Source organism: Homo sapiens, chromosome 5, assembly GCF_000001405.40.
Source record: "Homo sapiens chromosome 5, GRCh38.p14 Primary Assembly".
In the NCBI taxonomy this organism is placed as follows: domain Eukaryota; kingdom Metazoa; phylum Chordata; class Mammalia; order Primates; family Hominidae; genus Homo; species Homo sapiens.
In genome coordinates, this window is record NC_000005.10 from 115,275,166 (window position 1) to 115,301,939 (window position 26,774).

Genomic DNA, 26,774 nt, shown 5'->3' on the forward strand with positions numbered 1-26,774 from the left:
TGCCTAGAACATAGAAACACAGAATGAATAATAGCTATTATAATTATTACCTCTTTTTTTCTTTCTTCTAGAGCCAGAAACTTTTGATACCATTTTTCATGCTGTTGAACTTCATCTTGTGTTTTTCCAGGAAGGTGTTCTAGAACTTCTTCCATAAATGTTGGCTTCCCTTTATGTTTGTTTCTCACCTTTACAAAGTTCTGGTGATCATAATCATCCCAGGCACCTTGTCGCCCTCCTGTTTGCTGAAGGAATTTTTCAAAATCTAGTACCTCTTCTGGAAGAGTACTTGGTGTTACTTTGTCTACAGGAACTTTGCTTGAGATTGCTCTGAAAGCTTTCTCTGTTTCTGAATTACCCAAAGCCCATGTGTCAATTTTTCTTGATATGGCACTCAACTCATTATTAGTTGTCTTCTCTTCTTTAATTAGCTCTTCATATCTAAAATTTTAAAAATAAAGTTTGAATAAGAAGACAATCCATATTAACCCTTAATTTTCCATCAAATTTAAGATACCTGACTCTTTATATCATCTTCTCCACTTAACATTATTAACATTTATAAATTTAAGCCTTAAAAGAGTCTCCTCAGAGATAAAAACAATCTTTCAAATTCTTATTTGGGATTTTATAGTAACTAAATATGAATAAAATTTCGCTTTAAATATGAAAAGCCACCTAAAACTGAAAACAAAAAAGATATTATATTGCTTTTGTATAAGACTCAAATACATAATAACAGAATGCATTATATACAAAAATGTACTGGGGCCAGTTATTAAAAAATAAAGGTCAATAATTTTATATTAAAATGAGTTTAAAACATACATCAACCTCTGCTCTTCTTTAAAAGTGTTAATTGCATTTTCAATTTCTTCCATCATTTCTCTGAGCTTCTCAACAACTGTAAAAGAAACACGGAAAATTATTTTGTGCCATTTTCCCATATGGCTAAAAGTTAAATATTAGGAAGAAAAAGTGGAATGTTCTCCTAATTTTAAAATATTTCTTAGCCTAAGGCATAAGAAAGTTGTGCTCAAAAGTGAATTTTTATGATTGCTATTTTTTCTGATTACAGACATTTTCCCTATATACTCATATCATAATTATCTCCATTTTAGAGCTGAGGAAATGAAAGCTCAGATATATCAAGTAACTTGCCTAAAATTACATAGCCAACAAGTGAAAGATCAAAGGTTTGACCCAACACCTGTCTGATTCCTAAGTCCATACACCCTGAGACCTTTAATTTGTTGCTTTGATTCTCAGGAATGAATATTACAGTAAGCAAGGAGGTAGGGATATAATTTGTGGGATTTTTTTCCAAAAACTAGCATTTGTCCTAAATCAGTTTAACCTTTCCTTATGTATTAGAAATGCCTCTCAAAGACAATTATTTCAAAAAGCAAATGAAGGGAAAACACTGGGACAGGATTAAGGAAATCAATCTTTTTTCCCCTTAATTAGCTGTTTTTTTAAACCTTTCTATAACATAGATTCCCAATCCTGTAAATGTCACTAGTATGTGTTCTGCCTACCTTATAATTTCTAAGGATTTGATAATACTTTAACGGATACACACAGAAATGCCCGATTATAGTTCTCCGGTGTAAACTTACTAAATCCTAACTGATAGAGTTTAGCTCCATTAATAAACTTATTAAGTCCTAACCAATAAAGTAGAGTTTAGCTCCATTAATAAACTTAAGTCCTAACCAATAAAGTAGAGTTTAGCTCCATTAATGCCAAACAGAAAATACTAACACATAAGAAAGATTATAATATCTAAATTTACTTACAATCAGGTGTAGGCTTCACATCTTTTAATTGATGCTGAAGTTTCTTTACATTATTATGTATTTTGGCCAATTGTTGCTGGATTTTTGCTCCTATAAGAAAGAAGTATGCACTTTAAAATAATTCTGTGACAAATGTGGTTACAATTCAGGAATCTACATGTAAGACTGATCACTGTTAGTAAAAGCCAAGAGCAATTAAATAAAGAACAAAAGATATTTATGTCAAAACATTAATACTTTAAGTACCTTTGTTCTAAATAAAGCATCCTTCAATATCTTTCAATATTTAAAAGCATAATGGGTTAAGTCTTACTATAACCCGTGCTAAGGAAATGTCTTTTTTTCCCCTTCTGTGTAGATTGAGTTATTGGACATTGTTTTACATGTAAATATTAGCAGTTTCAGCATAGTTTTTGTTCTTTAATAGTGTTTCATTTCTTTTTAATTTGTTATAACTTATGGAAATAGAATTTGGTCTTAACTCTATTGTGGGAATATTAAAACTATTTAGTTAATTCTGTGAATACTGAGAAACTTCCCATTGAGAATTAATTTCATCCAACCAAATCTTCTAGGAAAGGGGCAGGTGATACTCATTGTTATCACTGGCACGGCCCTGAGGAGGTGCCTCAGGTATCATTCAGTGGTATACTATGCCACAGGTCGCCAAGCTCAATCAAAGGACCAGCCTGGAGTAAAATATTAGGCCCACAATAAAGCCTGAAAAGTAAATGAGAGTCTCAACGATTCTTTCAAATTGTCTTTATCAGCATAAAGGATTCTTCTTTCATATTTTTTTCTGAAGGAATAATCTTACTTTAATATTTACTTAAATTACTAGGCTAATGTCAAAATATTCGCATTCTTATAATAGTAATACTATTATTTTATCATCTTGGGGTATTTTATGCACCCTCCTCTTTTTTGTTTTTGCAACTTTTCCACAAATAAGCACAAAGCACCAAAGGCTCTGTACAAAAGTCCTTAAAAGTAATTATTTTTTTAAGAAAAAGTTTACCTATAGGTTTGCAGTCAGTGTGAACATCCAAAATAAACCTCTTAATACGTATATGACAACTTTGGCTTGTTCTGTGTTTTTCATTAAAATTCAAGAATTCCATAAAGGCAGAAACTTTTTGTAATTTACTTTGTAGGGTCTTACTGTTGAACTTTAGGTCATGAAACCTCTCTAGTAAAGTAATTAGGAAAGTGTTTTTTGTTGCTTCATTTTAGCCTTAGTTTGATCAGCTACCAAAATATCACTACAAGGCTGATAATCTTTTTATTTTATTTATTCATTTGGATAGATAGACAAATCATTTAAGTACAATATGACATAAATGCAGACTAAAATTGAGGTATGCTATTGGAGGTAAGGAATAGGTATTTCTACTGCTCAGCTGTAATATATGAAGGGAAAACTTCTCTACACTAAGGCAAGCATTCTTTACTCTCCTAGACAGGAAAAACATAAAGTGTAGTAACACTACACTTTATAAGAGCAAAACTTATAAAAATAACTTAAAAAAATAAGCAAAACTATAGAACAAAGTGAAATAGATTGGTACAAATAAAGTTGCCATAATAAAGGGAAAATCAAGTGACCTAAAATTTGCACAAAATTTTACTTATTGGCATTACTGAGACATAGAAAAATCAGCCTCCCAGTTGTCTACAAAAGAACTGAGGGAAATAAAGAAATATTGAATCAGGGGTGTCTCGGTTTTTCAATGTATCAAAGAAGGAAAATGATTCCTGCCACTGCTTGACAAAGAATCACTTTTTAAAGTAGTGTAATCTTTTCTTTTAAAAAATAGTGCAACCTTGTATTTTGAAAGAAAAAAATCACTAAGAATTTACTTTAATTGATGACAAGGGAGTATCATGAGCAGTCTCATCTCTACATAGTAAGTCTTAATATTTTATAAAGCTTAGTTATTTGATAACCATTATTTTTCCTTTAAGAAATGCTAAGCAGCTTTTTTATTATAAAGATTTTACAACATACAGAATCTAACGCTACAATGAAACAAATATTCTCAAATTCTTTAAGGGTAACATTCAGTACACTATTGACAATGATTAATATTCATAACAAACAAAAGAACATAGTCATGTACAATCTATCTATAAGGTACATTTTTATATATTATCTCATCAGATGCATAGTACGGCTCTCCTGAGGTAGAAATGACAAGTTTTAGAATGTAGACAAGGAAACTCAGGTTTATGCAATTATCTGACTTGATCACTTCACACAACTGCTAATTATAGCTTTGAATCTGTTGATGCTTACTGAGTCCAGGGCTCAGTCAACAATGCCAGGGTAATGAGCTAACATCAGACAGCCCAGAAATCACTCTGCTTTTAAGAAATTTTAATAGAATTTGGTGGTGTGTCAACCAAAAAAATCCCCCAAATCCTCTCTTTCTTGTTATATTGGAAAAAATATACAACAGAAAACAATCCAGTTAGTATGACTAAATAGTGACCCGAAAGAATAAACATGTCCCTAAAAGACAAATTTTACCAACTAAAATACAGAGAATATAACACAGTCAATAGAGAACTGACTCTATTGATAGAGAACACAATACAGTCAATGCACAAAGACAAAGCACAGGGTAAAACTACAACTTTATATCGCTCAACAGTTTTTAGTTCATCACAAACTCAACTTACTTTCTGTTTTCCTGCTGTGAATCAATTTATTTTCCAATTCTTCTAGCATACTATGCTCAATTCTGAAGTCACTTTTTTGGTTGTAGAAATGACTGTGTTTATCTTTTTCCATGTTAATTACTCTTTAGGAAAAGAAACAAATAGTATAAATATGATCTAAATATATTTTTAATAGTTTAAAATATGAAGACACTCAATAATCCGTATTTTATATTTGGATTAATTCATCTATGGAATAAAAATAATTACTTTGGTTAATAAGGCTAAGGAATCAAAACATTAGTCAAAATAATAGCTAGAAGAGTTAATTTCAATCAAACACAACTATAATTTGAACTGCTATGTAAATCATAAAATGATAATTTAAGAAAATGTGGATATACATTTGCTTTGAAAATGCATAAGCTTTTGACTATTGATTCCAACTCAATCTCACTGGAGCCTGAAAATGGCCATCACTGCTGATGACTGCTTTCAATAGTAGATACTATTAATTTTGTAACCTTAGCCAAGATGGTTAACCTCTCCAGGTATGAACCTCCTCATCACTAAAATGTGAATAATAACAGCTCTCCACTATCTAATAGGGCTATTATTCACATCAAATGAGATAATATATGTGGGAGATCTCTGTACAGTACAAGTATACTATGGAAATGCCAGTTATTAATATTATTAATAAAACTAAAACTTCGAGAGACTAACCATCTACAAAGACAGGAAATTTCGGGTATTTAATGACTATTGTCTACATTTACTTCAGGCTTCTTTCAGCACATCTTTGCCCCTTGAATTTAGTCTAACAGTAAGGAGTTCTCATTGTTAGTTTGCACCCTAAGAGAAAACAAAAATAAAATAAAACACTACTGAGAAACTTTTTTGATTGGGCAAAGAAATCAATTCTCAAATTACCTTTTTTTTTTTGAGACAGGGTCTGGCTCTGTCACCCAGGCTGGAGTGCCATGGTGCCATCTCAGCTCACTGCAGCCTTGACCTCCCTGGCTCAAGCAATCCTCCAACCTCAGTCTCCTGAGTAGCTGGGACTACAGGGGCACACAACCACCATGCCCAGCTAATTTTTTTTTTTGATAGATATAGGGTTTTGCCATGTTGCCCAGGCTGGTCTTGAACTCCTGAGCTCAAGTGATCTGCCCACCTCGGCCTCCCAAAGTGCGTGAGCCATCATGCCCAGCCAAAATTAATTTTCTTAATGTGTTTCTTTCTCCCAGGTGGAAATTAATATGAATATTTCTCCACTAATCTTGGATTTAATAAGTGGTGGAGCATCACTGGCCATTTACTTAATTCACACAACCTGAGAGGCAACTATCTATACCGTAGAGTTTCCCAATCTTTTCCACTTTGCCATACATAGAGAATTTTTTTTTTTTTTTTGAGACAGACTCTCGCTCTGTCACCCAGGCTGGAGTGCAGTGGTGCGATTTCAGCTCACTGTAACCTCCGCCTCCCTGGTTCAAGCAATTCCCCTGCCTCAGCCTCCCGAGTAACTGGGACTACAAGCGCCTGCCACCATGACTGGCTAATTTTTGTATTTTTCATAGAGACAGAATTTCGCCATGTTGGCCAGGCTAGTCTCAAACTCCTGACCTCAAGTAATCTTCCCTCCTTGGCCTCCCAAAATGCTGGGATTACAGGCATGAGCCACCGCATCTGACCGCCCATAGAGAAAAATTTAATATTCATAAGACACATGGGGGTAGACAGATGAGACTGCCCCAGAGCCCACCACACTTCTCCAGAGGCTGAGGGGATCATGTCTTAGCATGTGTGTTTAGGTAGCTTCTATTGTTTGTGAGAAGAAATAATGGGTAGATAAAGATATCAAATAGATTTCAGTCCCACCTGGCAACTCTAATGGACTGAGTCCTGTGTTGAGGACTGGGAAGTTCATCTAGGCTCTGGTTGCAGATGGGGAAAATTACTATGATAAAAAGAAACGTCTGCCATGGACACAGGATATGCTACAACTTTATATCACTCAACAGTTTTTAGTTCATCACAAACTCAACTTACTTTCTGTTTTTCCTGGATTAGAAATATTAACCTATAAGGATATTCAAAATATGCTAATTAATGGAGACAAGTCGACAAAAATGAAAACAACCTCCTCAATAGAAGAAATGCAAATTAAAACTATATCACAGTAACACTGCACACCTATCATATTGGCAAAAAAATCACAAATTTAATATATTTTGTTGACAAAACTGTGAGGAAAACATGTCTTCTCATACATTGTTGGTGGAACTGTTGTCTACGGAGGGCAATTTAGCAATATTTATCACATTTGTAAATTCATTTATCTCTGACCCAGTATTTCCTTTTAGGAATTTATCCTGAAGATATACTTACAAACAAATAATGTTGACCTATGTGGGTATGGTAATTAATTGCAGCACTGTTTGTTATTAAAAAAAGATTGAATATAACCTAAATGTCCATAAATATGGGCAGGTTAAATAAATCATATTACATTCATACACTGGAATATGATACAGTGGTACTCTGTTCTACGTACTGACAGGAAAAGATCTCCAAGATAACCTCTTTTTTAAACAAAGTTTTTGTAGGAAAATGTTAGACATATTCAAAAGTACAGAATGGTAAATTGACACCCATCATATGATATGAATTTTATCTCACCCTGATTCAGCAGTTTTACCTCTCATTTCATCTATCCATCTATCTTTGCTTTGCTCAGTTTAAGTATTTTCAAGTAGATCCATTACATCTACCTTTGCTTTGCTTAGCTTAGCTTAAGTATTTTCAAGTAAATCCATCACATTATGCAATTTCACCCCAACAAACTTTTGTGTGTGCCTCTAGAGAGTACTGATATTTGACTTACCTAACTATAATGCCATTATTGTGCCTAGCAAAATCTACAATTCCTTGTTATCTAAGACATACACTTTAAAAAAAAATGCAGAGCAATGTGGACGGTATGCTACCATTTATACAAAAAAGGAAAAATCTGAATATATATTTCTTTATAAACACATAAAATATCTGGGGAAGGATACATAAGAAACCAAAACTAGTGGGTTATCTGAGTGGAAAGGAACTGGGTGGCTTGGATGAAGAGTAAAACTGAGACTTTCCACTGGGTACCCTTTGATTTGTTTTGATTCTTGAACCATGTAAATATATTACCTATTTTAAAAATTTAAAAAAAGATATTATAGATTGTGGTTTTTCGTTTGTGTTTATGTGAATTGTTAGATAGAAACACTCTTACAATGAGTTTTTCTAATATTCTTTCAGTGAGTTTTTCCAATGCCCTAAAACAGATGAAGAAGCCTTCTCAGAACTGTAAAACACACTGGTTGCTGCATCTATGGATATTAACCATTTGGTGGACATTACCCTATCTAGAAAGAAACATAAAACAGAACCTCTAACCTAGAATCTAATTCTATCTAGAGTAATGCATTTTGGATATTTTAAAGAACTGTATTTTTTCAAATTCTGAATACTAAAGATATATGTATTAGCAACTTCAAGCATACAATACGTTATTATTAACTATACTCACCATGCTGTACATTAGGTCTCTAGATCTTTTCTATTTTATAACTTGTACCCTTTGACCAACATCTCCCCATTATCCCCACTCCCACCTCATCACCCCCAGACTCCTGGTAATCACCATTCTATTCTCTGTTTCTGAGTTTGACTTTTTTAAGATTCCACATATAAATGAGATCATGCATTGTCTGTCTTTCTGTGTATGGCTTATTTCACTTAACATAATGAAAATCTCAGCTCACTTTTCTAAGAAAGTTGATCTTAAATATTCTCAACCCTTCACGCACACACAAGGTAACTATGTGAAGTGATGGATATGTTAATTAGCTTGATTGTGGTAATCATTCTGCAATGTTTGTGTACATCCATACATCACACTGTAGACATTAAATATATATAATTTTTATTTGTCAGTTATACCTCAATAAAAGTGGGGGAAAAGACAAAAGTATTATGTAAATGCAAGGAGAATTTAGTCTCCAAAAGCTACGATATGGTATAGCTTTTCAAAATTCTAACAGTACACTTTTTCATTGGTAGAATTTCTAAATATAGACCTGCCACCAATTCTGACCCAGAGACCATTCCTTATAATAGGCTCCTTTTCTCATGTCCTTTGGCAAATTGATACTATGTAGGTTCAAAGCAACGTTTTGATAAAGCTCTCAACTGTAGGGTAGAGTGGGGTGCCTTGAGTTCTAATTCTTTTTAACATTCTTCATATTTATATGCTGGTACTGCTGACAACATTGAACATTCAATAAATATCAATGGTTGTTTAAAGAAAAAGTTCATATATATTGAAAATTTAAAATAAATGGAAGCTTCTCAAATAGCTTGGTCATAATGGGCAAAATGGATCTGAAAGGAGCAGAAACCAAGGAATTGAGATCAATTAAAAAGCCACTCAAAAAAAAAAAAGTAAGAGCACAGACTTTTCATTAAATTGATTCACTGTCTTCCTTAGTGAGATCACACCCACATATTCAAATAGGCTTGGTGGTGAACATCACTGGTTAGTAAGAAGAACAATGGCTTTCAGAGTGGCTGGAGCCAGCCTAAGAGTCCCTCAAACACCATTTATTAACCATGTAACCTATGGAAAGATGTTTATCCTCTATGATCCTCAACATCCTCATTTGTAAAACAGGAAGAAGAGCAATTTAAATATATGATGTTCGTCATTTATAAAACATTATAAAACACTTTCATATACACATAATAAAAAAACACAAAAACGATTCACTTCCTCAAAAACATTTACCAGGCATTTAGTTATAAAGTGAAAATAGATTAAGTCTGTTATTCGTTATATAAAATCTAAAGAAACAGCTATTTTTTTTCCCTTGAAATACACAGATTCAAAATTGTAAAAATAAAGAAAATTGAAATAACTCTATTTACAATTAACTTTATATTGAACAGCCTATTATTTCATACCTCCCATCTTTCTCTTGTTATATTTGACAGGCTAGTGATTACAATTTTATAACTTAATGTGAGCCTAGGTAGGGTAGAGTAGAATTAATTTTTTATTGTCCATTATAAAATGGCTAGTAATGTTATTTGAAGATTATATTCTTATACTTACTGATTTTTAAATTTTTCTGCTGTGCGTACAAATTCTGCTTTCTTAGTCTGATTAACTTTCTGCTTCCAGTTCTGAAGATGAAAAGGACGAATTCCACCTGAAGTACTAAAACAGCCATCACTCTGCATTGAGAACAAGAAAAACTTAACAGTAATGAAAATAGTAAGACATAAATGTGGAATTTTTTCAGAGAGATAAAATGTCAATAGTTGAGTTTCTTGAAGGATAATTTTGGGGCCAATCTCACTTAACTCTTAAAAGTACATTTGTGGAAGAAGGAGTATCTATCAAATGAAGGAATATCTATCTTAAAATGCTAAACTGAGTAAGAAATGTTAAATATCCAGGGATTATTTGCAAAATGATCTAATTCATTCAGTCGGTCATTTAACAAATATGTATTGAACACTATGAAGTGACACGGGCTACATTAGACACTAGGAAAACAATGATGATCTATAATAATATGGTCCCTGTCTGAAGGTCTAGTGAGGAAAAACAGATTTAAAGAGATAAGAGTAAACAAGCAATAAAATGAAAACTCCACCAGCTGCAATAAATGCTATTAAGAAAATAAATATTAGGGCTCAGATGGAGAAAGCGGAGAAAGGGTTTCAGTTACAGTGGTCACAGAAGGTCTATTTGAAGGGATGACTTTAAGGAAGATTGAAGCCAGCCATGACAGGAGCAGTAGGAAAGTGTGTTCTAAGCAAAGGGATCCACATGTGCAAAAGCCCTAGAGCATGAAAGACTTTGCTGAGTTCAAGCAGAGAAAGGCCAATTGTGTCATGAGATTAGTAACGGTGTGGATCTTGGTAGGAAAATGAAAGTAGAGAGGCAGGTATGTGCCAGATCATACAGATATTTTAGGTCACTTAGGGGGTCTGGATTTTATTGAAGAGTTTTGAGCAGGGAAATGCCATGATACATTTAACTCTTTAAGAACAATTTTCTGGCTATTTTTTTGGAGAGGAAATTGATGGGAGGTGTGGGGGTGGAGTGAGGCAAGACTGGAAGCAGGAGATCAATGAGGTACTTAGTACAGCTATAGAGACAAGGAATGACAGTGTCCAGGACTACTGGGCTGACAGAAAATAAAAGAAGACTCAATGTATTTTGGAGGTATCACCCAGAGGGATTGCTGAGCAATAAAAATGGGTTGTGGGGGATGAGGGGAAAAGGAAACAAGGCTTCAAATTTCCAGGAGCAAAAAAGAACAAAGTATTAAATCTAAATCTAGGAAATATATTTTAAGTCAAAATGTAATTCACAGACCATAAAATATGTCTGTTTGAAGTGTACAATTCAGTGGTTTTTAGTGTATTCACAAAGTTTTGTAACCATCATGACTACCCAGTTTCAGAATATTTTCATCATACCAAAAAGAAACCTCATACCTATTAGAGGTCACTCCCCATTCCCCTTCCTCCCAGCTCCTGGCAACCATTAATCTACTTTCTGACTCTATGGATTTGCATATTCTGGAGAATTTATATAAATGGGCTCATACAATGTGTAGCCTTGTCTGACTTCTTTCACTTCACATGATGTTTTCAAGATTCATCCGTGTTGTACCATGAATCAATACTCCATTCCTTCTTACAGCTGAATAATACTCCATTATATGGGTCTACCACATTTTCTTTATCTACTCATCAGTCATTAGCTGATGGACAATTGGGGTGTTTCCATTATTTGGCCAAATTAATCTGAACATTTGTGTACATGTTTTAATGTGAATGCATGTTTTCAATTCTCTTCATTATATACCTAGCAGCAGAATTTCTGGATCATAAAGTAACTATTTTTTTTTACTTTCCCATTTTGAAAAATTGGGTGGCATAGTGGGGCCTGGTGGCTCATGCCTCTAATTCTAGCACTTTGGGAGGCCAAGGTGGGAGAATAGCTTGAGCTCAGGAGTTTGAGACCAGCCTGGGAAACATAGCAAGATCCTGTCTGTATAAAAACTTAAAAAAAAATTAGCCAGGCATGGTGGTGTGAGGCCACCAGGAGGCCACCTCAGGAGGCTGAGGTGGGAGGATCACTTGAGTCCAGGAGATTAAGGCTGCAGTAAGCCATAACCACACAACTGCACTCCAGCCTTGGGGGACAGAGCAACACACTGTCTCAACAACAACAACAACAAAGGATTGCCCTTTTATTGTTGAGCTGGAAGCATTCTTTATATACTGGATGTAAAAGTCCCTTATTAGACATACGACTTGTAAATATATCCCCCCATTCTCTGAGTTGTCTTTTCACTTTCTTGATAATGCCTTCGAAGCCCCAAAATTTTAAACTTTTTAAAGAATTGCCAGACTGTTTTCCACAGTGGCAGCACCATTTTACATTCCCACCAGCAATGTATAGGGGTTTCAATTTCTCCACAGGCTCACCAATAACTGTTATCGTCTGTCTTTTTTATTACAGTCATCTTAATGGGTATGAAGTGATTTCTCACAGTGGTTCTGATTAGTCCATAATGACTAATGATGTTGAGCATTTTTTTCATGTGCTTGCTTATTGGCCACTTCTTTTAAGGAATGTCTACTTAAATCCTTTCCCTTTTTAAAAATTTGGCTGTCTATTTATTGTTGAATTGTAACAGTTATTTATGCTACTCAACTTTTATGGGAGGCTATTGTTTTGAACAGAGCTCCTGCAGTAGGCCCCAAAAGACCAGACAAAATAAAAATGGAGTTACTCATGCTAAGTGCCACATGATCAAAATGAAACTTTGAGGAAAGAGGTAGATTTCCCCAACTGACCAATTTTTCCTGAAAACAAGAGATGCACGGCAACCAATCAGAAAGGGTCCAGTCAACCTGAGCCCGAGTAATAAGAAAAGCCTCTCTGCTTTTACCTTCATAAGTTACCCGAAGTAAACAGATGTTAACCAATCCCCTTTCCTTTTTTTTTTTTTTTTTTTTTTTAATTAAAGTGGTGAGGGTCTTCTTATGTTGCCCAGGTTGGACTCCTGGGCTCAAATGATCCTCTCATCTCAGCCTCCTGAGTAGCTGAGACTACAGGCACATGCTACTGTGCTCAACTCCAATCTGCTTTTTTCTTTTATTTTTCTTTTTGCTTCAAAATATTATTTAATAATTGAGATTTTATTGGTTGTGTTGAAAATCAGTACACACACATTTCAATTTGCACACAATTTTTAACACAGGTACCAAAAATCTAAAATGCCTTTTTTTTTCCCCCCGAGACGGAGTTTTGCTCTTGTCATCCAGGCTGGAGTACATTGGTACCATATTGGCTCGCTGCAACCTCTGCCTCCCGAGTTCAAGCAATTCTCCTGCCTCAGCCTCCCGAGTAGCTGGGATTACAGGCACCCACCACCACGCCCAGCTAATTTTTGTATTTTTAGTAGACACAGGGTTTTGCCATGCTGGCCAGGCTGGTCTCGAACTCCTGACCTCAGGTGATCCGCCTGCCTTGGCCTCCCAAAGTGCTGGGATTACAGGTGTTAGCCACCGCACCCAGCCACCATGTACTTTTAAAAGTTACTCCAGTGACTTTCCAGCTTAAATTTGGAGGGAAATTTTCCTTAAGAGGTGATCAAGTACCAGTATCTTCACATGTTGATAAGCTGTTAAATACATCCCAGCAACTCACAATTTAATACCATATACACTACAAACTCTAATTTTCAGTCTTTCACAACACACTAACAATGTTATTAGGAAAATATAGGACTACCATAACCAAAGATGTCACAGAGTGCATACAATTCTGACAGGGAAAGCCATGATCAAAGAGTGGTTTTTATAAGGAAACAATTCTACTAAAAAATAACATGGGAATGGAAGTAATTTAAAATGTTCAAGACATTAAATGCAGGACCGTGACTCCATATCGCCATTTAGTACACTTAGTATTAGAAGATATAAGAACTAACCCCCATCTATGGAATGCTATGCTGACACCCAAGACAGTCAAAGCCTCCCATAATTGAATATTCCACACTATTTTCTGGTTGTACCAAAAAATAAACAACCAGCAAATGATTTCACCTCTTAAAGCATTTACACTTAAAAAATAGGATGAGGTGGGATTCCCTCCTTCTTAAAAATGTTCCCTGAGTGACTAAAAAACTTGCATTTACAAGATAGTTGATAAAAATATTCCTCTGGATTGTACAAGGAGGGAGACAGGGACTACTAAGACACAGTAGATGATATTAATCAGATTGGCTTCCTTTTTTTTTTTTTTAACCAAATTCATTTTATTGCCAGACAGACTTGGCTTCTTTCCCTCAGCCTTCATCAAAGGCAGGACCCTCTTTGGTTTTAGTTTCTTTGTTTTCTGCAGATAAGTCTTCTTTAGTTTATTGGTTAGCCACTTTGGCCAGTTTTCCTTTTGTTCTCCTTTTCCCTTCGGTTTGCACTTTGTGTCTGAAGATTTATCCTTTCATGACTGCCTTTTTTGGCTTCATTTCTGCTTTTGTAGGAGCAGGTTTAGATGACAATTGCAAGAATCTCCTCTTGGGCTCTTCCTTCACTTCCCCTTCTGCTGAGCTGACTTTCCACTTGGGCTTCTTGGCAGCAGGAAAGGCACCTGCCTGGTGCTCAGTGCTTGCAAGCCCTGGTGTGTGAGCCTCTGTGGAGCTGGGCTACCTGGCTGTTGCCGCTCCTCCCGCCACCCCAGCGGCTGAGATCCCCACTTTTTTCTATTGTTTCTGGGTTTTTTGTTCCTACTTTACAGAACCCACTGTTCTGTCATGCCCTGTGGAAATTCTTACTCTATTTTATAGAATGGGATGCTGCCCCAATTCATGAATCGCAAATAAAAGCCAATTCGATCTAAATTGAACTAAATTTGTTGTAACTTTGTTCAACATGTATTTTAGATGTAAGACCCTTATCAACATATAATTTGCAAGTATTTTCTCCCATACTCTGACTTATCTCTTAACTTTCTTAATAATGTTCTTTTGCAGCGGCTTAATCCCGGCTCACTGCAACCTCTACCTCCACCTCCCCAGTTCAAGTGATCCTCCTGCTTCAGCCTCCTAAGTAGCTGGGACCACAAGCACACACCATCAAGCATGGCTAATTTTTGTATTTTTAGTAAGGATGGGGTTTCGCGATGTTGGCCAGCTGGTCTCAAACTCCTGGCCTCAAGCGATCTTCCTGCCCGGGCCTCCCAAAGTGCTGGGATTACAGGCATGAGCCACTGCACGTGGCCTAAAGCACAAAAGTTTTTTAATTTTGATGGAATCCAAAGTATCTATTTAGTCTTTGGCTACTTGTGCTTTAGGTGTCATACAGGGGAAACTACTGACTGACCAAAGGTCATGAAGACTCATGCCTGTGTTTTATTCTAAGTTTTTTAGACCTGCATTTAGATCTTTGATCAGATTAGATATTTTTCAAATATGGTGTGAGGTAGTTCAGCTTCTGTAGGTGGTTATTCAATTGTCCAAACTTTTGTTGAAAAGACTATTCTTTTCTTATTGAATTGTCTTGGCACCCTTTTGAAAATCATCTGCCCATAAAACTGTAGGTGTATGTCTTGACTCTCATTGATCTATATGTCTATTGTCTATCCCTATGCCAGTACCATAGTTTGATTACTGTGGCTTTGAAGTTAAATTCTGAATTTAACAAGTGTAAGTCCTTCAACTTTGTTCTTCTTTTTCAAGATTGTTTTGGCTATTTTGGGTGCCTTGCATTTTCCATATTAATTTTAAGATCAGCTTGTACATTTCTGCAAAATAATTTTTAAAAGGCAGCTAAGATCTTTACAGAGATTGCACTGAATCTGTAAATCAATTTGGGGATTATTGCCATCTTAACAAAATGAAGTCTTCAAAATCATAAACATTAAGTATTCATTTATATAAGTCTCCTTTAATTTTTTGAATAATTTTTATAGGTTTTAGAGAATAAGTTTTATGCTTCTTTTGTTAAATTCATCCCTATGTATTTTAATCTTTGTGATACTATTATCAATGGTATTTTTTCTTAATTTCATTTTTGAATTGTCCATTGCTAGTGTATAGAAATACAACTGACTTTTGTATATTGATCTTGTATTCTGCAACCTTGCTGTACTTGTTTATTAGTTTTCTAGTAAGTTTTTTTTGTGTGTGTGTGAATCCCTTAGAATTTTTAATATATATTAGGTCATCTGTGAATAAGTATCATGTTACATCTTCCTTTCCAATACGAATGCTTTTTATTTGCTCTTCTTGCCTAATTGCCCTAGTTAGAACTTTCAGTGAGTAAAGTGGTAAGAGTGGACAATTTTGCCTTGTTCCTGATCATACGGAAACAGCTTTCCATATTTGATCATTAAGTAATACGTTACTTAATGATGCCTCTATCAGGTTGAGAAAGTTCTCTTCTATTGACAGTTTGTTGACTGGATAATCTGAATTGACCTATCTTCATGAAAGGGTGTTGGATTTTGTCAATTGCTTTTCTGCTTCTATTGGGATGATTATGCGGTTTTGCCCTTTATTCTATTAATATGTAGTATTATATTAATTGATTTTCATATATTAAACCAACACTGCATGTCTGGAATAAACTGCAATTGATCATGGTGTATAATCCTTTTCATGTTTTTAGATATGTTTGCTAGTATTTTGTTGAGTATTTTTACATCTGTATTTATAACAGATACTATTCTGTATTTTTCTTTCTTGTGATGTTTTTTGTTTGATTTTGGTATCAGGGTAATAATGGCCTTACAGAATGAGAAATGTTCATTAAAAATGTTCCTTCCTCCTCTATTTTCTGAAAAACATTTGTTAAAAACAAAAATACATTTATGCTGACTTTCATATTTACCTATATATTTGCAGTACTCTATTCACATTATTCTTCATGTGGATTCAAGTTACTGTCTAGTGTCCTTCTATTTTAGCTTGAAGGACTCCTTTTAATGTAGGGCAATTATGCTAAGTTATTTTGGCTTTTGTTTGCCTCAGTATGTCTTAAATTCTTCTTCAATCTTACAGAATAATTTTGCTGTACAAAGAACAACTGGCTGGCAGTCTTTTTCTATTTTATGTCATCCCTCTGCCTTTTGGTGTCCATGGTTTCTGATGTGAAAACAGCTGTTAATCTTATTGAGGAATTCCTTATATGTAATGAACTGTTTCTTTCTTGGTGCTTTCAAGACTTTTTGTCCATATTTATTGGCAGGTTTATTACGATGTGTCTAGATATGAATTTCTGTGAGTTTATTCTACTTAGAGTTCATTGAGCTCCATCCATATGTAGGTTAATGTTTTTCATCAAATTTGGGACGTCTTCTATTATTCTTCAAATATCGGTTTTCCTCCTTTTTTCTCCTTTCCTTTCTTTCTGGGACTCTCATTATGCACATGGTAGTATGCCTAACGGTATCTCACAGATCTCAGACTCTGTTCATTTTTCTTCATTCTTTTCTTGCCTCTGTTCTTCAGTCTGGATAATGTGAATTGACCTATCTTCAGGTTTGTTGATACTTTCTTCTGCCAGCTCAGATCTGGTGTTGAGTCTCTCTAGTGATGTTTTCATTTGAGTTCTTGCATTTTTTAACTCCAGAATTTCTACTTGATTCTTTTTTAAATGTTTAATTTCTTTAAAGATTTCTATTTCATTCCCACACTTTCTCTTAGTTCTTTAGATATGGTTTCCTTTAGTTCTTTGAACATATTTAAATAACTGTTTTGAAGTCTTTGCCTAGTATGTCCAATAGCCAGTATTCCTCAGAGACAGTTCCTTTTTACTGTTTTCCCCATGTGTGAACCATACTTTCTTGCCGTGTCTCATAACTTTGTTAAAGACTGGACATATAAAATAATATAATGGACAACTCCAAAAATGAGATTCTCTCCCCTTAGCAGGGTTTGTTTTGTTGCTGTTTGTTTGGTCACTTTAAACTAATTCTGTAAAATCTGTAGTCTTGGTCAGGTGTGGCAGTGAAATCTCTGATTGGTTAGCTCAGTTGTCAGCCAATAATTGGTCAGAGATTTCCTTAGATGCATTGAACCACTATGTGTCCTAGCCTTTGCTACCTTTGGGAAAGGGGGTCTGTATGCATGCTGAAGCATACCTCCTACATGCAGGCAGGCAGTTTACAACCCTATCTTAGTATTTACTTTCTGCCAGCACAGTGTTTCAAAGACAAACAAGGATGAGGACTGAGAGCTTCTTAGGTCTTTCCTGGTGTCTCCTATTGCTGCTGTAACAAACTCACCATAAGTGCAGTGGCTTAAACAACACACATTTATTGACTTATAGTTCTGGAGGTCTACTCTAAAATCAAAGTGTGAACCTGGAGGACATTACGCTAAGTGAAACAGAGATGCAAATCCTGTATAATCTCACTTAAACTGCACGTGGAATCTAACACAGAGTAGAACAATAGTTGCCAGAGGCTGGTGGGGAGGGCAAGGAAGGAAATAGGTAGTTGGTCAAACGGTGCAAAGTTTCAGATAGACAGGAGGAATGTTTTGAGATCTACTGCACAGTAGGTTAACTATACTCAGTAATAATGTATTGTGTATCTCAAAATAAGAGTAAATTTCAAATGTTTCACCAGAAAAAAATAAGTGAGGTGATAGATATGTTAATTATTAGCCAGGTTTAATCATTCCACATTGTATACATATATCAGAACATCACACTGTACCCCATAAATGTATATAATTAAGATTTGTCAATTAAAAATAATGTTAATTAAAACAAAGGTGTTAGTAGGGCTACATTCATTCTGGAAGCTTCAGGGAAGAATCCACCCCCTTACCTTTTTTTCCAGCATCTAGAACCACCTTAATTCCTTGGCTAATGGCCCCTTCCTCACATCACTCCATCCTCTTCCTTCCATCATCACATCTCCTACTTCTGACTCTGATCTTCCTGCGACTCTCTTATAAGGACCTTTGTGATTACACCAGGTCCACTCAGATAATTAAGGTATTTAATTTATCTTAATCACACCTGCAAAGTCCCTTTTACGATGCAAGATTACACAGTCACAGGTGAAAATAGTTATTATTGAAGGGTTATTTCAGGCAGCCAAGGAACATAAAATTCAGGTCATCAGAGGGAAGGTCCTTAGAAACAAAACAGAAGACAGAGCCTTATGCTGGTACAAAACCAGCATCACACTAATGTGATACTGTTAAAGATACTTCAAAAAAGTCATAATTCAGCAACTACAATGATCAAGAGAACAGATGGTAACAAGAAGGAAATGACATTGGAGAGGAGGATAGAGATTTGCGGTCTTCAGTTTTGAAAGGCAATAGCTAAGAGGGGTTATGAACAAATAATATACAAATATTAAAAAGTATGGAAAATGTGTTAACTTTTCATAATGAGTGAGGAATTTATGAGATTCCACGCCCTGAGGATATTGTAAAATAAAATACAATATAAAATAGTTTTAAAACTTCAGAGATATTTACTCCAAAGTAATTTAAAGACACTGTGATGGACTGAATTGTGTTCCCTCAAAATTCCTATGTAGAAGGCCTGATCCCCAAATAACTCTATCTGGAGATGGGGTCTTTATGTTAAATGAGGTCATTAAGGTGGGGACCTAATTTGATAGAACTAGTGTTCCTATAAGAAGAGATGCCAGAGATCTCTTTCTCTCCTCTTGTAACAGAGAAAAGACTATGTGAGGACACAGTGAGAAGGTGGCTGCCTACAGGCCAGGAAAAGAGGCCTCACCAGAAACCAACCCTAAGGGCAACTTGATCTTGAACTTCTAGCTTCTAGAACTGTGAGAAAATAAACTTTTGTTGTTTTAGCCACCAAGTCTGTAGCATTTTGTTATAGAAGCCCTAGCTGACAGGAACTTTAGATATTTTGGTAGACATCTCTAGTATCATGAGATTGCCACCAGGAAAATTCTCTCTTCTCAAGAAAATACTAGTTGGTTTCAGTGTTAAAGTCAGTAGGAATATTCGTTCATTTAATCATATGACAAATATTCAAGTTCGGTGTTAGGCTGTAGAATTTGTGTGTATAGGTATGTGCGTGTGGTATGCTGGGGGAAGTACAAAAATGGATAACATGTAAACTCCTAAACATTATCACAATATAGCATGCAGTAATGCTGCATTGTTTTGTTTTGTTTTTTTAAAAAAGCCCAAACACACGTGAAGAATTCTACCTAACTATGCTGAGGTAGATTCTCAACAATGAGGCTCTGCTTTCCCTACTAAAGTGGTAAGACAGTATACACCATGGTTCTCAATCTCAGCACTACTAACTTTTGGACCAGATGATTTTTGTTATGGGTGGCTGTTCTCTGGCCTGTATCCATTAGATGCTAGCAGCCCCTCAACACCCCCCTGCTCCCCACTCTGACAGCCAAAAATGTCTCCAAACATTGCTAGATATCCTCTAGGGGATTGATAAAATATCTGAAAGAGCTCCACAGGTGATCTGATCCAACCCCTGAGAAGGCAAACATCACAAAAGTGTGCATCAATAACAACATTAGGCAACTCGCAAGAAATGCAGATCAGAAGACAGAACATTGCTACAAGAATTTAGAGAAATGATGGAGAAAGCCAGCAACATGGTGTCACACATTTTTTTGAGCATAGTACTTAAAAATACTTTACGTATTATGTATATTTATATATTTTACATTTTTTCCTGAGATACTTGGGACAGAGTTAGAATAATAAAGAGAATTATAGAGGATGTGTGAGAAAATTTGCCGTAGGTGGAATTTCCTGAAGGTCTACGAGTAAAGACACTGTATTTCCTTAAAGGAGGAAAAAGATGGAACCTCTCCTCAGCTCATGACAGCCTTCCTTCAGGTTTATATTGATCCACAAATTATTTAGTAAGTGCATACTACGTTCCAGGCACTACACAACAGGCATAGTTCTTGGTGCTGGGAATACAATAAAGAATAAAATTTCCAATACTTTCTGCCCTCATGGAGCTTACATTCTCATGGGGGTGCGAGGGAGGGTGAGGGGTGTGAGGAGAAACATAAACAATAGAAATAAAGTATGTAATATAATATATGGTACTAAGTGCTATGGGGAAAAATAAAACCAGAAACAGGGACTGGGTGTGCCGCGTAAGGCGATTCATTTTAGGGAGATCATGGAAAGTCTCGCTGAGCTGATAACATCTGAACAAAGATACCTTGTCCTCACCACCTAGAAAGCGGTCCTAAGCCGATCACTGGAAACACCTCTGCCTCCGACCATCCCATATTGTCTTTCTCCTTGTGTTCCCAGCGCCGGTACAGTAACAGAGCTGCCACCAATTACTGAGCACAGAGTCCCCCTCCAATCAAGCACTGTGCCAGGGGCTCCCCAGACATAACGTTAGTCCAAAGCTCGGGAGGTGCATGTTACTATTCCCAATTTTTAGAGAAGAAAGTGAGTCGCCGACAGCATATGTTCTTATCACGCGGCTAGGAAGCGGCAGAGCCGGGTTCCCACCCAGGTCTTCCTCGACTCCGAAACCACATGGAGGCGGCTCTGCAAAAGCTGTTAAACGCACAAGCCAACAAAGAGCAACGCCCAGCGCGTGCCAGGCCCCGAGCAGGGGAGGCGAACGCCGCGCCTCCCGCCGGCGCTGCAGAGGGCACCTGTTCAGCCAGGGCCTGCAGCCCCTCGCCTGCCGCCAGAGCAGCTCTCGGTTCTCCCGGATTTACCTGTTGAGGCGCTGGCGTCGCTCCCACGCCGGTCCCGGTGGCCGCGCCCGCCCCTGCCACAGCCCCGGCTACCGCGGTGGCCGCAGCCGCTACCACAACCGTCGTCAGTGCGGCCATGTTTACCCGCCGAGCTACTCGGGCCGCGGCGGCCACCGGTGCCTGGGGATTCGTGGCAGGCGCACCCTGGCCTCTGCAGACAGCTCCCTGCGCTGCGGGCTTGGCCGGGATGCAGGGCGGGGCCGAGATGTAGGGCGGGGTCGGGATGCAGGGCGGGGCTGAGATGCGGGGGTGCAGGGGTGCGGGGGTGCGGGAGGGGCGGGACTGGGGTGCAGGGCGGGGCCGAAATGCGAGGCGGGGGCCGGGATTCAGGCGGGGAGGGGCGGGGCGAGGGAGGGGCAAGGTGCCGGGCGGAGCCGGGATGCAGGGGAGGGGCGGGTCTGGGGTTCTGGGGCGGGCGGGTGTGGGGGCGGGGCGGGGCGGGGCGGGGGCTGCGCTCTGCCCTGTCGCGGGTTTATATACCCTTTGGGCACTTAACCGACTGTGCCAGCCCAGTCCCATACCTGTCAAGAAAATTCATTGTCTTACATCGTCCTTAAATTTTATTCGTGTTATAGTCAATATATACATATTTTTACCTAATATACATCCGCTTTCTAGGTTTCTACTTAGCGCTGCTGAGACTGAGTCTAAATGAAAAAACATTATCAATGGATTCTAACAATAAATCATATTTTAGATTTTTAAAGAAAAAAACCCAGCTTGCTCCACAGAACCAGATATCAGAGGCAGGAATGCCACAGTTACATTCCTAGGACTTGGTCAATGAGAAGACAGATTCCAAAAATACAGTGCTGGGAAGTTGGAAAAAAGCCACAGATGACGCTTCCAGTCAAGACAACCTGTGGCAACTGAGCTGATTTCTGTAGGTACTACCTTTTCCCCCTTTATAGAAATCGATTCATTCAGTCAGTCAATATGGAGCTCCTAGCATATGTCAGGCACTGTTCTAGGCCTTGGGAATTCATTGTTGAATTAGACACATAGGTAAGGTTCCTTCACCTTTAACAAGTAAACAAATAGGTATTTATTGAGCAATTCCTTTATGCCAGGGCTGTTATAAGTGCTTTATATGCACTTTTGCATTTAATCTTCACAAATAACTTCATGAAGTAGGTACTATTATCATCTCCATTTCAGTGATAAAGTTAAGGATCACATGGCCACACAGGTAGAGGGTAGGATACCTATCTAGACAGCCTGACTCCAGAGACCATCCTGGTAGAGGTATTAAACAGGCAGCGGGATAAACGCCTCTGGAGCCCAGGAGAGAGAGAGCTAAAGATACGAATTTGATCTTCCTATAGAAAATATTTGAAATAAGACTGAATGAGCTCACCCAGGGTGAGTATAAATTGAAGTCTGAGAACTAAGCCTAGGCCACTCCGAGAAGGTGACCACGGACAAGAGGAGAAGGGGACCAATATGGAGAGATCTGTGAGAAGGGAGGAAAACCGGAAGTCTGTGGAGGGAAGTTTTTGCAGAAGAGGCCGGACGTGGTGGCTTACGCCTGTAATCCCAGCACTTTGGGAGGCCGAGGTGGGCGGATCACGAGGTCAGGAGATGGAGACCATCCTGGCCAACATGGTGAAACCCCATCTCTACTAAAAATACAAAAATTAGCTGGGCGTGGTGGCGCCTGTCTGTAGTCCCAGCTACTCGGGAGGCTGAGGCAGGAGAATTGCTTGAACCAGGGAGTCGGAGGTTGCAGTGAGCCAAGATCGTGTCATTGCACTCCAGCCTGGTGACAGAGTGAGACTTCGTCTCAACAAAAAAAAAAAAAAAAAAAAAAAAAAAAAAAAAAAAAAAAAAAAAAAGAGAAGAAGAAGAGGGGAGAAGAAGAAGAAGGAAGAAGAATGGAGGAGAAGAAGAAGGCAAAGAAGAAGAAGGAGAAGGAGAAGAGAGAAGAAGGAGAAGGGAGAAGGGAGAAGGAGGAGGAGAAGGAGGAGCAGGAGGAGGAGGAGAAGGAGGAGCAGGAGGAGGAGGAGAAGGAGGAGGAGGAGGAGAAGGAGGAGGAGGAGAAGGAGGAGGAGGAAGAGAAGAAGAAGGAGAAGAAATAAGAAGAAAAAGAAAGAAGGAGGAGGAGGAGAAAATGGTCAGCTGTGTGGTTCACTGCCTAGAGGCTGAGTGAAGGGGTAACAAAGAAATGATGGTTGCATTTGGCAACAGGGAGGCCGTGGGTTTATGGGGTAGGTAGACCAAAGCCTGGCTGACTGCATTGAGGAGATAATGGAGGTGACGAGGTAGAAACTGTTTTTCGCTATGATTTTGATCGATTTTATGGTGCAGGTGATCAGAGAAATGAAGTGGTAGCTGGGGGAAGATGTGTGATCAAAGAGGGTCTTTGTTGTTGTGTTGTGTTTCAAGGTAGGGACTAGTAGAAGGAGTTCATGCTGCTGGGAATTATTTAGTGGAGACAGAAGTTTGATGCTGCAGGACAGAGGCAGTCAGACCCTCTTGAAAGTAAGGCTGATGGAGTCCAGAGCATAAGTGGGAGGTTTGGTCTTTGATAGACGCACAGACTCTTCTGACACAGGGAGGTAGTGGGTGGGGACTATGGGGAGGCCAGAGAGTCCTGCATACATGGGTTGCAGCACAAGGTAGTTGGAAGATTTGGAGGGAGGAGATGGTTGGCCCCACCTCCCCACCCCTGTGTGAAGTAGGAGGAAGTAAGTCACTTGGGTGTATTGAGAAGGTAAAACTTCTTTAATTTTTGTATTACCTTTTATCCAAATGAGCCCTGTTACTATAGCACTGTCTGAATTCCTGTAATTATTAGTCCAGAATTATCTTGCAGCCTCGGAAAAAAAGCAAGTCAACCAACGATTTGAGTTGAGTGGTCTTTTACAATTTTAATACTGCCACTAAAAATAAAGAGAAGCCTAAGATCATTTTGCACTTCCTATTGTTTTTAGAGTATATCCTGCACTGGATATCTAGAGTACTGTGTTCAGAAGTTTTCTGAAATCACCCTTTTCTCTATGTGCTATGGAATCAATTTGATATATATTTCAGTTCTTTTGATTACATTTGTGTTCAATTTCAATGTTTCCTTTTTTGTTTTGTTTTCTTTCAATTTACTTTTTTTAAAAAATAAGTAAGTTATGTATAACATGTATAAAGTCAAAACTCTATGACAAGGTATGTTTAAAGAAGGCTTACTCCCCAACATATCCTCTCCATGGCCTTTCAACTAATCCTCTATGGTAAATAATTGTGTTAATTTCTGGTTCTTTTATGTTTCATTTGCAAAAGAAAAAAAGGTAAATAGACAAATACATTTTTATTTTTCTTTTTTTCTTACAAAAACATCTAGCATATTATATTAGTGTTCTAGGGCTGCATAACAAAGTGCCATAAACTGGGTAGTTTGTAACAACAGAAATTTATTCTCTCATAGTGTAGTAGGCCAGAAGTTCAAAACCAAGGTGTGGGCAGGTCTGGTTTCTTCATGGGGGCTTAATGGGAAAATCTGTTCCATGCCCCTCTCCCAGCTTCTGATGATTGCCAGCAATCTTGAGACTCCTTGGCTTGTAGAAGCATTACTCCAATTTCTACCTCCATCGTTGCACAACACATATCTGTGTCTCTGTGTCCAAACTTTCCTCTTATAAGAATACCAGTCACTGGTTTAGGGCCCATTCTAATGCAGTATGACCCCATTTTAACTTGATTACATTTGGAAAGACCCCATTTCCAAATCAGGTCACATTCACAGGTACCAGGGATTAGGACTTCAGCATATCTCTTTCGAGGACACAATTCAACTGATAACACATGTATTATACTCTTGAAATTTTTGCTTAACAATATATACTGCACCTTGAAATTTTTGCTTAACAATATATACTGGAACTTGCTTCATGTCAGTTCACAGAAATTTTCTTAAATTTTAAAAATTAAATGCATAATCCTCCGTTATTTTATTCAGCCAGTCATCTGCCAATAGATATTTAGGTGATTTCTAAACTTTTGTTGCTGCAAGTAATGATTCATAAGTATTTCATATTTGGGAAAGTGATTATCTTCAGTAGAATAGCTAGGTCAAAGGTTAAATGCAAATGCAACCTAGTTAGATATTGCTAAATTCCTCTCCATAGGAGTTGTACCATATTGCACTGCCACTAACAATGTGTGAGGGTGCTTGCTTCTTTATTGCTTGAGATCTTAGTATTTAAGTTGTTGGATTTTTGAAAATCTAAAGAGATGAAAAATCGTATCTCTCAGTAAGTTTAATATGGGCATACCTGTTTTTATTGTGCTCCACTTTATTGTGCTTTGCAGGCACTGCATTTTTTACAGATTGACGGTTTGTGGTAATCCTGTGTCAAGCAAATCTATTGGTGCCATTTTTCCAACAGCATTTGCTCACTACGTCTATGTGTCACATTTTGGTAATGTGACGGTATTTCTCGAAATATGCTCACGATATTTCAAACTTGTTTCCTATTATGGTGATCTGTGACCAATGATGTTTGATGTTACCATTTTAATTGTTTTGGGACACCATGAGGCATGCCGAACTTAATAAATGTTTTGTGTATTCTGACTACTCCACCAGTTGACCGTTCTTCCATCTTTAATTTTGAAAGAAGTTTCACTATGAGTAAAATGCTATCAAAAAGCATAGAATGCTACAGAGAAATCTTTTGTGAAAGGAAGAATCAATTGAGGTGGCAAACTTCCGTTGTCTTATTTTACGAAATTGCCACAGCCTCCCCAGTCTTCAGCAGCCACCATCAACATAGAGGCAAGACCATCAGCAAAAAATATTATAATTCACTGAAGGCTCAGATGATTGTTAGCATTTTTAGCAATAAAGTATTTTAAAATTAAGGTATGTACATTGCTTTTTTAGATGCAATGTTATTACACACTTAATAGACTGCAGTATAGTGTAAACATAACTTTTATATGCACTTGGAAACCTTAAATTTGTGTGTAATATTTCCTGCAATGTTTCTGAGGGATGTCTGTATGCCTTTATGTTATTATGAGGAAGGTCAGCCTTTTTCATAAGTTTAAGGACAATTGCTTGCTTTTTTTTTTTTTAACTGTCTCTTTACATCTTTTCCCAACTGGTATTTGGTGCCTTTCTTCCCAGTTTTTAAGAACTGTTTGTTAATTAGGAGATTATGATATATTTTGTGGTATAAATTGCAAATATTTCTTTCAGGTTTTAAATTTGTTTTATGACTTTTCCTTTTTTTGCTTTGAGCAAGTTCTTTTTATTTTTATGTAGTCAAATTTGTCAGTCTTTTATTATTTTTTTCAGTGCTTTGGGATTTATAATCATCTCTAGAAAGGCGTTTCTCACTCCAAGTTTATAATGAAGTGAATTCCTGTTTTCTTCTGTGGTTTCACCTTTCACATTTATATATCTGGATTATTTGGATTTCTTTCTGATATTCAGTGTGAAATGTGGACCCAATTTTTACTTTTACCCAAATGACTAT

The 26,774-nt window shown here is 37.3% G+C and overlaps 1 protein-coding gene, 1 long non-coding RNA gene and 1 pseudogene across 10 annotated transcripts in view, besides 1 other annotated feature; 1 reads left to right on the forward strand and 2 right to left on the reverse strand.

Annotated features, from left to right (window-relative positions):
- The window catches only part of CCDC112 (coiled-coil domain containing 112), a 29,465-nt gene extending 7,976 nt beyond the window's left edge, over positions 1-21,489 (reverse strand). For 3 of the 7 annotated variants that reach the window (NM_001375896.1, NM_001040440.3, XM_047416827.1), the window contains exons 1-6: positions 21,262-21,489; positions 9,622-9,743; positions 4,482-4,603; positions 1,800-1,889; positions 829-904; positions 51-441 (exon numbers count right to left, since the gene is read on the reverse strand). In NM_001375896.1, the coding sequence (NP_001362825.1) occupies positions 51-441; positions 829-904; positions 1,800-1,889; positions 4,482-4,603; positions 9,622-9,743; positions 21,262-21,378 (918 nt within the window). In that variant the 5' untranslated portion in view covers positions 21,379-21,489. Of the gene's footprint in view, positions 1-50; positions 442-828; positions 905-1,799; positions 1,890-4,481; positions 4,604-9,621; positions 9,744-20,744; positions 21,126-21,261 lie in introns of those variants that run through there. The other 4 variants (NM_001375897.1, NM_001375898.1, NM_001375899.1 and 1 more) reach the window with 3 other exon arrangements.
- On the reverse strand, positions 13,871-14,165 carry HMGN1P15 (high mobility group nucleosome binding domain 1 pseudogene 15; annotated as a pseudogene).
- Positions 21,138-21,587: a silencer, noted in NCBI's record as "silent region_16248". NCBI's record gives its function as "represses an Ori minimal core promoter by ATAC-STARR-seq in GM12878 lymphoblastoid cells {active_cell/tissue: GM12878}" and the evidence as "EXISTENCE:reporter gene assay evidence [ECO:0000049][PMID:35858748]".
- Positions 21,763-26,774, forward strand: part of LOC105379129 (uncharacterized) — a 42,004-nt gene continuing 36,992 nt past the window's right edge. For 2 of the 3 annotated variants that reach the window (XR_948683.3, XR_948685.1), the window contains exon 1: positions 21,763-22,187. This is a non-coding gene — a long non-coding RNA (uncharacterized LOC105379129). The remainder of the gene's footprint in view (positions 22,188-26,774) is intronic. The other variant, XR_948684.3, reaches the window with a different exon arrangement.